Raw genomic sequence first — 11,628 nt, 5'->3', positions numbered from 1 at the left:
TTCTGTGCTCCAATTATGCAATTCTTGAGAATTTATCCCAAAAATGCCTCCTTAATTCAAGTGAAGGAAAAAGCTCTATGAAGGAAAAACATCAAAATAGCAAAAAATTGGAAAAGAAATGCATATGCAAAAATGGAAGCATAATTAATAAATTATGGTATATTATCTCCCTGTATACAGCCACTTGGTAATTACAAAGGCTATAGGCCATCATGAGAAAATGTACATATTATATTGAAACAATATAAATTATATAAAAAGGTATATTCTGTTTATATTTGCATTTAAATATTGATGTATAAACAAAAACTAAAAGAGAGTTTACCAAAATAAAATGTTTATGCTTTTATATTCTCTGAGCTAGTCTTCATTTATTCAGTACAAATTATTTTATTTTATTTATTTATTTACAGTGGAGTCTTGCTCTGTTACCCAGGCTGGAGTGCAGTGGCATGATCTTGGCTCACTGAAACCTCTGCCTCCTGGGTTCAAACGACTCTCCTACCTCAGCCTCTCAGGTAGCTGGGATTACAGGCATGCACCACCAAGCCCAGCTAGTTTTTGATTTTTAGTAGAGATGGGGTTTCACCATGTTGGCCTGGCTGGTCTTGAACTCCTGACCTCAGGTGATCCACCCACTTTGGCCTCCCAAAGTGCTGGGACTACAGGTGTGAGCCACCATGCCCGGCCAGTACAAATTGTTTTAGTGTCTATCCTCTCAAAAGATAAAGACCCTTAAAAACCAAGAGGCATGTTGGTCAGGCTGCACTCTGGCTTCGGGTGGAGAATTTGTTGGTTTGTGTGTTAAGATGAGTCAGATGCTGGGGAGAGTGGAGCACATGCCCAGTGTATTCACCGAATGTGGCTCATGGGCTTTTAAAAATCCCCTTGGCTTTTCTTGCTAACAGCCTGAAATTACGGGAATCAGCGGGTATGTCTGCATCATATTGAGAATTTCCCTTTTCACAAAAAAGCACTAGGACCACTTTTTTTTTTTTTTTTTTTTTTGAGACGGAGTCTCACTTTGTCACCCAGGCTGGAGTGCAATGGCGCAATTTCAGCTCACTACAACCACCACCTCCCGGGTTCAAGTGATTCTCCTGCCTCAGCCTCCCAAGTAGCTGGGATTACAGGCATGTGCCACCATGCCCGGCTAACTTTTGTGGTTTTAGTAGAGATGGGGTTTCACCATGTTGGCCAGGCTAGTCTCGTACTGCTGACCTCAGGTGATTTGCCCGCCTCGTCGGCCTCCCAAAGTGCTGAGATGACAGGCCACAACTTGTTTTTTGTTTTTGTTTTTGTTTTTTCTGAGACAGAGTCTTGCTCTGTCGCCCAGGCTGGAGTGCAGTAAGTGACATCACAGCTCACTGCAGCCAACTCCCCAGGCTCAGGTGATCCACCCACCTCAGCCTCCCGAGTAGCTGGGACTACAGGCTTGGGCCACTAGACCTGGCTAAATTTTTGTATTTTTTTGTACAGATGGGGTTTTACCATGTTGCCCAGGCTGGCTTTGAACTCCTGAGCTCAAGCAAACTGCCCACCTTGGCCTCCCAAGGTGCTGCGATTGCAGGTATGAGCCACCACGCCGAGCAACAACTAACTTTTTTATAACTCCAAATGCATTCCATAACTGCCCTTCTCTGGCTTCTTCTGTCCCCCATCTGCTTCCCTTGTGATAAGTCTTCACTTCCTTCCTGCTCCCACCTCATTAAAGCAGGCCTGGCTTTTGGAAAGGTGATGGAGGCGGACAGTTTTCTGAATGTGCCTGCAGCCAGGAGCCCACCTTCCTCCCCAGCATAGTCATCATCCTCCCTCCCCACCCCCAGCACATAAGCATGCCTGTTGCAGAAGTGCCACATTGTGGACATCTGACCACAGTGAACATCAGGTGTACATGCACTAGAGGCCTTCCGTGAGCCTAAGCTCTCATATGTTGAAAAGGTACCAATGACACTATTAACTTGGAGGCAGGAGAAGCATCTAAATGAAGTGATATGGGGCATTTTTCTTTTTTATTAGAAAGTTTAATTAGAACATCTCCCTGAGTGTTTTAATTTCAGGATGGACTCAAAGAAATGGCTTTAAAATAGTCCCTCTAGAATTGGTCAATGGTTTTCCTTAACAAGGTTGAAAAGATATTTTGAGACATCTTTTACTAGTTTAGATACTGAAAATGTTCAAGAAAAAATGCTTCTAGTTTGGAAAGATGTTTCTATTGAGATTTGACACCCTCCCAACTATTTCTACCTCTCCCCTTTTGAATTTTAACTTTTACTCTACTTATGAAAGGATTCATTTGGCCTTGAACACTAGAAATTAACTGTTTCCCTAAGGAACACAAATCTGTGGATTTCCTAATATATCCAGGAAGATAACAACAACAAAAAAAAGCAGAGCTCGCTATTGGAGTCAGAGGTCTCTGGCCAGGAGGCTGACGCAACCTGCTAACATTCTTTTTCACCCTTTCACCCAAGGCCATGCAGTGAGAAAAGGACACTGGATTTAGGATAGACCTTACAATTGATCCATGTCCTCCATTCCAGAAATGGCTGGGGGAAGATGAATATTGCGGCCAGGGGCGGCTTGTGTGACAATTCCTGCCCACACAATCACAGTTGTCTCTCTCAGCACCCTGTCAGGGCTATTTAATACAGTCCATTGCAGCATGCTCCAAAACTCCTTGTATCCCGCTGACTACAAACCAATAAGTTTGCTGAATTCTCTAAGGCAGAGGTTCATAAACTAAGGCCCACGGACAGAATATCAGTTTTTAGTCAGGGTTCTCTAGAGGTACAGAACTCATATATATATATATATATATATATATATATATATATACACACACACACACACACACACACACATATATATGTATATATATGTGTATATATATATATACGTATATATGTGTATATATATATATATATATATGAGTTTATTAAGTGTTAACTCACACAATCACAAGGTCCCACAATAGGCCGAGTTCCAAAACTGAAGAACTTGGAGTCCGATGTTCGAGGGCAGGAAGCAACCAGCAAGGGAGAAAGATGTAGGCTGGGAGGCTAGGCCAGCCTCTCTTTTCACGTTTTTCTGCCTGCTTATATTCTAATTGAGCTGGCAGCTGATTAGATTGTGCCGCCACAGATTACGGGTGGGTCTACCTTTCCCAGCCCACTGACTCAAATGTTAGCAACGCCCTCACAGACACACCCAGGATACTTTGTATCTTTGTATCTTTGAGGAAAAGAGGGAGAGTCTGTTTTGTGATCTTTCTTGTGCTTGGACCTCACTGGAGAAGTCTACGGGAGATACTCTGTATCCTTCAATCCAATCACGTTGACACTGAGTATTAACTGTCACAATCAGGGTCTGCGAATATGGGTGAGAGAAAATTACATACTTATTTTTACTAACTTCCTACTGAAATTTAGCATTTCCTCAATTATGTACATAAGCAACAAATCACAATAGCATACCAAGTTCCTGAGACTTTGTCACTACAGGAAATTGTCAATATTTTCATGTTCTCTTTCCTTGTGGCAGATACCTCAAAATACCAGCTATGCTCATCACCCCTTCACAAGTATGGTGGTTATTAGGTCTGAAAGTTTGTGTCCCCCCTTTCCAAAGTCATATGTTGAAGTACTAACGCCCAATGTGAAGGTATTTAGGAGGTGGGAACTTTGGGAGGTGATTAGGTTTAGATGGCATCAGGAGGTTGGAGTCCCTATGATGGAATTGGTGCTCTTATAAGAAGAGGAGGAGATACCAGACCTCTCTCTCCCCGTCCTCTCTCTCTCCCCACTCCTCTCTCTCTCTCTCCCTGCCATGTGGAGATCCAGGGAGAAGGTGGCACTGTGAAGCCAGACAGAGGGCCCTCACCAAAACCCAAATCTGCCAGTGTTACCAGGGGTCTTTGTTCTTAGAGCTCCCAAGATGCGGGGGGGCCGCTCCCAAGATGGCAGCAAGCCTCTTATTCTCTGACCTGGGGTTCTTGGCCTCACGGATTCCAAGGAATGGAAGCTTGGGCCATGCGGTGAGTGTTATAGCCCTATTAGAAGCTGTGGGTCACGGAAGAGAACCGTGGAACCCAGCGACTAGTGTTCAGCTCCATTAGGAGGAACCCGGGCACTTAGCCGTGCAGGAACAATGGCAAACTTTTAGCCCAATCAGGAGTGGCAACAGGCGCCTCCTTGGATCAGGAGCACAGCGGACACCCTGCCAGATCCGGAGGGATGGAAGTCAGCGGCGGGTCTGCGGCAGTGGCCAACAGCAGTGGTGGACAGTGAGCGAAAGCTCAGCTCGAGCCGTAACAAACACGGTCCAGAAGAGTGCAGTTGCAAGATTTAATAGAGTGAAAACAGAGCTCCCATACAAAGGGAGGGGACCCAAAGCGGGTTGCCGTTGCCAGCTCCAATGCCTGGGTTTATATCTTGATCACTGTCCCCCCACCTCCGTGCTCAGGCGATAGATGATTGGCTATTTCTTTACCTCCTGTTTTTGTCTAACTAGCATTTTAGTGAGCTCTCTTTACTACCTGATTGGTCAGGTGTGAGCTAAGTTGCAAGCCCTGTGTTTAAAGGTGGATGCGGTCACCTTCCCAGCTAGGCTTAGGGATTCTTAGTCAGCCTAGGAAATCCAGCTAGTCCTGTCTCTCACCAGCATCGTAATCTTGGACTTCTAGCCTCTAGATCTATAAGAAATCATTGTCTGTTGCTTAAGCCGCCCAGTCTGTGGGCAGCTTGTTTGTTATAGTAGCCAAGATGACTAAGACACATAATATCACATATTTTTAAAGAATGTGGTTACTTCGCTTGCCCATAATTGGTTTCCTTTACAATCCCATGTATTTCCTTTTATGCATTTGAAACCATTATTTTAAGAATAGGTCTATAGACTTCTCCAGTGACGTCCAAGCACAAGAAAGATCACAAAACAGACTCTCCTTCCTTTCCTCCATCTGGGCCACATCTTCACTTAACAAGAACAGCTTCCTTACACCTCCCAGATTGAGGAATGGTGGGTGAGAACACGGTATAATAAAGCTTGTTTTATGGTCTCTGCCCTTGTAGATCAGGGTCTCCACTCACAGACTTTGCCCTCTAACCTCAGCCACTATCTGACAAGCATCTGCTGGTTGGCGGAGAGGATGTGCACAGATGGGTGTATACCCAACGCTGCTCCCAGGAATGAATCCCAAAGCCACCAGATCTTACCAAGGGTGACCTTCACACAGAACAGCACATGGACACACCCCCCCCCAGGACTGTGGGTGGAGCAGTTGGAAGGCCACCACTAATTGTGGAGTTATGTTAAGGCTTACGCTGATTCTGTGTTATGATTTCATTTTGGAATAAAAAACCAGAGCCCTGTATTCCATCTTGCCAGAACTGCTTGCTAGTGATTTGAACTCAAGAAATCTGGTACAGGCAGGGTGTGGTGGCTCACGCCTGTAATCCCAGCACTTTGGGAGGCCAAGGCAAGTGGATCACCTGAGGTCAGGAGTTCAAGACCAGCCTGGCCAACACGGCGAAACCCTGTCTCTACTAAAAATACAAACGATTAGCCTGGCATGGTGGCGGGCGCCTGTCATCCCAGCTACTTGGGAGGCTGAGGCAGGAGAATCGCTTGAACCTGGGAAGCAGAGGTTGCAGTGAGCTGAGATCACACCACTGCATTCCAGCCTGGGAGACAGAGCAAGACTCTGTCTCAAAAAAAGAAAAAAAAAAAGAAATCCGTTACAGCTTTGAGCTTCAGTTTCCTCATCTTTCAAATGATGGCTACAACTGCAAAGGTTTATTTTTCAAAACATGTTCTCTCCCTGTCTCTCTCTCTCAAATTCCTTCTTCCTTATTTTGACAGCTACTACATTTGAGCTTTTTAATTTGAATATTATTGGATGGTAACCCACTTACAGAGATAGGAAGTTGGACGTCTTGAAGAAAGGAATTTCATCTTAAAGTCCATTATATTTTTAATCTAAACTGCTTGGACTAAAACAGCTTGCTTTAGGACAGGGCTGGGCGTGACTTTTTATTTTGCTTTGTTCTCAGTTTTGCTTTATCTAGAATCTGTGTTTCAATATATCAGCTCTAGGTGGCAGTAATGTACCATGAAGATGTGTGCTTTACCAGGTAGCAGGCTGCCAAGTTTCAAGTCTTGAGGCTTGAGGTGGAAGAGAACCTTAAGGAAAATTTTAATGGGATTACTGGGTGCCAGCGCTATCTAGACACTCTGTGAGCAGGTCAACTCACGACTGTTGTCCCCTGTGACTACCTTGGAGGAAGGAAGGAAAGCTACAGGCTCATGAATACATTACATGAAGGATGCAATGAAATATTTTATGGTATAGGGATTTTTCCAAACCTGTGCTCTACATATACTCTGTCTCTGTCTCTCTCTGTCTCTCTCTCTCTCTCTCTCTCACACACACACACACACACACACACACACACACACACACATTGAGATAAGAGAAGCTACTTCTTCAAAACAAGGTTTGTTTATATAATCAACTCATGACCCCTCTCCTCTTCTTTTTTCCTTTCCTAACTCTAAAAAAAAAATAATTTTACTATCCATTTGTCTCTAAGGTGAATGAGCTAAGACACAGTAGTAATGTATAGTACTACAGTAGTCACATATAGTAAGCATATGTGTATATACTGAAGAACGTGAGCCTGAGGGGAGAGCACATTTGAGGGACAGTGTATTGTTCATTATTCATTCCTTTGGATTTCTTTTTTGTTTTGTTTCCGTTTGTTTTGTTTTTTTTCTTTTTTGAGGCTGAGTCTCACTGTATTGCCCAGGCTGGAGTGCAGTGGTGCAATCTTGGCTCACTGCAACCTCCACCTCCCAGGTTCAAGCTATTCTCCTGCCTCAGCCTCCCGAGTAGCTGGGATTACAGGCACGCACCACCATGCCTGGCTAACTTTTGTATTTTTAGTAGAGAAGGGGTTTTACCATTTTGGCCAGGCTGGTCTCGAACTCCCGACCTCAAGTGATCCACCCGCCAAGACCTGCCAAAGTGCTGGGATTACTGGTGTGAGCCACCGCACCCGGCCTTGTCTGGATTTCTTTACAAGAGTTTACGTAGCCATTTCCTCATCTGTAAAATGAGACTAATAGTTCCACCTTCGTATGGTTGTGATGAGGATTAAAGTGGTCCACAGATATACAGGTGATGAGCTGCCTGATGCATACACAGGAAGCTGCATGTGGACGCTAGCTGTGACTACTGTCACTATTACCCAAGGCTCTTTGCTTTTTCAAGTTTTTGTTTAAAGTTTTTTGGAGAGACGAGGTCTCACTATGTTGCCCAGGCTAGTCTCTAACTCCTGAGCTCAAGTGAACCTCCTGCCTCAGCCTCCCCAAAGCCCTTTGCTTTTTATCTGAAGGAGTAGAGAGGCGATCTGGGCACAGCCACCTAGGGAGAAATGAAAAGGAATACAGAGAAACACACCACACATACCCACCCCCCCCCACACACACAAATACACACACACACAGACAGAGATACACACACACACACAGAGACAGACATAGATACATACACACAGGGACACAGAAACACACAGATATACACACAGAGGGACACAGAGACAGACACAGATACACACACACAGGGACACACATGCATGCACACACACAGCCTGTACAGAATATAGGGAGATGTGAAACCCCATCCATAAGGCTGCTAAAGGCAGCTAAAAGGGGGAAGATGAAAGTGTAAAGGAGGTGTGGTAAGGTCTTGGCTAATTTACCTTGTTAGGATGGATGAATAGTAAAACTGGTTTTTTAGGGTTAAGAAAGATAAAGGGAGAGAGATGATCATGAGCTGATCATAGGAAAAAACTCTGTTTTGGGAAAGCAACTTCTCTTTTTTCAGTATCTGGGGTTCTTGGGATATGTGTAGTAGTGCATGACAGCACAGCCGAACACACTGAGAGTGGCCTTTCTTTATAGGAACGGAGGCACTGTCCCACGCTGCGACTCTGTCGTGAGTGAAGATGGGTGGTGTGGAATCAGAACAGATTTGCTCTGCCAGAGACCCTTGTGTAGTCCTCCAGTATTCCTTTGGGGTCATGTGTTGATTTATGTCTCTGACTTTGAGACAAATACATGAAAATCCAAACTTAAAAATCAAAAGTGAGTGAGAGACTCTTCAAGTAGGAAGAAAATTCTACACTTTACAAAATAATTCACTACTGTACTCCCTTAAATCACTGATGGAGGATATGATTACATTTCCGTAACACCTCACAGAACTGTAGTAAGGGGCCATTGTATCCAAGATCTTTTCTTTCAAGTGGATTCCTTAGAAAGCAAAAAGGTTTACAAAAAGAATTATTCCCATGAAGATTAGTCAGTTGATATGATCCATGCAGATACTGTCTCGGAAGCAAATGTTCATGTAGCTGGTAAATTTCTGACATGATGGGAAAGGTTTCTGGGTGTCCTTCAATTATCTTCTCTCTTCTCTTCCCATTCTTTATTTATTTATTTATTTTTGAGAATGAGTATTCCTCTGTCATCCAGGCTGGAGTGCAGTGGCATGATCTTGGTTCACTGCAACTTCTGCTTCCTGGGTTCAAGCAATTCTCCTGCCTTAGCCTCCCCAGTAGCTGGGATTACAGGCATGTGCCACCACACTCGGCTAATTTTGTATTTTTAATAGAGACAGGGTTTCACCATGTTGGCCAGGCTGCTCTTGAACTCCTGACATCAGGTGATCCTCCTGCCTCAGCCTCCCAAAGTGCTGGGATTACAGGCGTGAGCCACCATGCCCAGCCCCCCATTATTTATTATTATTATTATTATTATTAATTTTGTGAAAATTTTTACCCCTGTGACTAGGGGAAGACAGAATTTTAACCCCTATATTCCAGCAGATGTGGCTTTCCAAAAGCAATGGTGAGGTTGAATGAGGAAAGAAAGGATGAAAGCTTTCCACTCTCAGGAGGCTGCATGCTTTGAGCTTCCTAAGAAGTACTAAAGGTAGATATCACGGCTCAAGCTTCCAGACTGCTTCACAATTGCAAATAAAGATCTGAAAACTTGTTCTTTTACACTTCTTGGGAACGTTTTTAATTAAATCAGTGGTCAAATTTGCAAATATTCTCCATCGGAAACTTTTGTTTGGCAGGAGCTGCAAACTGTGATGTCAGCCTCTGATTTGAAAACCTGGCCCTTCCAAGAGAATAATAGAAGTTATAAAGAAAAAAGAAATGTGTCTGTGCCAAACCAACAAAAAAGAATAAAAGTTTATAAGATTCTAAATTGAATTTGCTTTTGTCATTTCCCCAAAAGATGTTAGGAAGAATACCAACTTGCTTTAGAGGTTAACCAATTAATTAATGTGGAAAGCTGAAAATATATTATCTCAAGATTGCTGTGTAGTTTATTAGCTGAGAAATATGTTTATTTTTTGCTTTCTAGATACTGTGGAGGAAAGACTGTGCCTTCTTCTTATTTTCTATTGCTTATTTTGAGACCCCATTGCCCAGGCTAGAGTGCAGTGATGATCATAGCTCACTGCAGCCTCAAACTCAGAGGTTTAAATGATCTTCCCACTTCAGGCTCCCAAGTAGCTGGGACTACAGGTGCACACCACCACACCTAGCTAATTTTTTAATTTTGTTATGTTTTATAGAGATGGGGTCTCTCTATATTGCCCAGGCTGGTCTCAAACTCCTGGCCTCAAGCAGTCCTCCTGCCTTGGCCTCCCAAAGTGCTGAGATTACAGGCATTAGCCACTGTGCTGGCCACCTTACTGTATCTATTCGTGTGCTGTTCAGAGTATTTAATTAAATGCTTGTTGATCTGATTTGCTGGAAGTCTAGAAGTCTTTGGCATGAGATAATATATTAGAAAGAGGGCTGGATTGAGACTTTAAAGATCCAAGCCTCATCTTATCTTTGTTGCACCTTATTTTTGTAGAACAATTTATAGTTTACCAAGATCTTAGAGTACATATAAAACCAATTACATTTGATCATCATAGCTACCCTGTAACATAAAAGACAGTATTGTTATTCAATACTGTATAACACTGGTCATATTGGATTAGAGACCACCCTAAAGATATTCTTTTAACCTAACTCTTCATGCATTGTAATATATATAGCTGAGAATTTTCCAAGTCTTCAAATTCTGGTTCCTTTTTGCTTAACAATTTCTTCTTCAACTTAACTCTGTGCTCTCACATTTTGCTGTAAGTGGTAAAGAGAAACCTTCAACACTTTGCTTAGGGATTTCCTCAGCTAAATACCCAAGTTTGTCACTTAAGAGTTTTACCTTCCGCAAAACACTAGAACACTATTCAGCCAAGTTCTTTGCCACTTTGTAACAAGGATCATCTTTCCTCCAGTGCCCAAAATATGTTCATTTCCGTGTGAGACCTCACCAGAAGCATATTTAATGTCCATATTTCTATTAACAGGCTCTTCGAGGAACTAGGTTTTTTTAATATGGCCTCAAAACTCTTCTAGCCTTACCCAGTTCCAAAGCCACTTTGAATTTTTTGGTATTTGTTATATCAGCACCCCACTCCCAGTACCAAAATCTGTATCAATCTACTAGGGCTCCCATAACAAAGAAACACACACTAGTTGGCTTAAACAACAGAAACTTATTTCCTAACTGTTTTGGTGGCTTAAGGTCCAAGATCAAGGTCAGCTGGTTTCATTCTGAGGATTCTCTCCTTGGCTTGTAGATGGCCATCTTCTTCCAGTATCTTCACATGGTCTTTCCTCTATGCATGTACATATCTGTGTCACAACTCCCTCTTCTTATAAGGACACTGGTCATATTGGATTAGGAACTACCCTAAAGATCTTCTTGTAACTTAATTACCTATTTAAAGACCTTATCTCCAGATACATTCTGAGGTTTTGGGGTTAGGACTTTAACATATGAATTTGGGGGGACACTATTCAGACCATAAAAGGCAGTAACCTATAGATGAGAATTAGACCCACCAATGAGAATATTCACGTGCATAGAAACTTAAAGTCACCCGGCTAGTATACTCAAGACCCAGACATTTTTATTTTTCTTATTCAGTCTATTAAGGTGACAAAATGTATTGGAAGTATGTGATCCAAGTAAGTAGATCTATGAATGGTTTCAGGAAATAAGACACAAACGTAAGTTATAGCCACAGGAAATACCCGTGATTTTTGACATAGCTACTCTAAATTTGACATATCAGAACGTTACAGCATGCCTGTCTTGATCTATTTGTGCTGACATAACAAAATATCTGAAACTGGATAATTTATAAGAAGAGAAATTTATTTCTTACAGTTCTGAAGACTGGGAGATCCAAGATCAAGACACTTACAACTGGTGTCTGGTGTGGGACCTGTTGCTGTATCCTCATGGTGGAAGGGGTGAAAACGGCAAAAAGGCATACTAGAATGCTCCCTTCAACCTCTTTTTATCAGAGCATTAATCCATTCATGACTTAATCACTTCCTAAAGGCCCCATCTCTTAATACTATCCCATTGGTGATTAAGTTTTAACATATGAATTTTGAGGGTCACATATAGACCACATATAGACCATAGCAATGCCTAACATTTTGTGCAAATTGTTTGAAAGATTAAATTCATGGCAATGCTATT

At 42.6% G+C, this 11,628-nt stretch overlaps 1 annotated feature.

The window, feature by feature from the left end:
• Positions 3,428-3,529: a silencer, noted in NCBI's record as "fragment chr6:14069795-14069896 (GRCh37/hg19 assembly coordinates)". NCBI's record gives its function as "represses an EF-1alpha promoter that drives an FKBP-Casp9 reporter gene in an ReSE screen in phorbol 12-myristate 13-acetate-treated (for megakaryocytic differentiation) K562 erythroleukemia cells {active_cell/tissue: K562(+PMA)}" and the evidence as "EXISTENCE:reporter gene assay evidence [ECO:0000049][PMID:32094911]".

Source organism: Homo sapiens, chromosome 6 (assembly GCF_000001405.40).
Source record: "Homo sapiens chromosome 6, GRCh38.p14 Primary Assembly".
NCBI classification, from domain to species: domain Eukaryota; kingdom Metazoa; phylum Chordata; class Mammalia; order Primates; family Hominidae; genus Homo; species Homo sapiens.
Note: the sequence above shows the minus strand (reverse complement) of the source record. Positions and strands in the feature narration are given on the sequence as shown.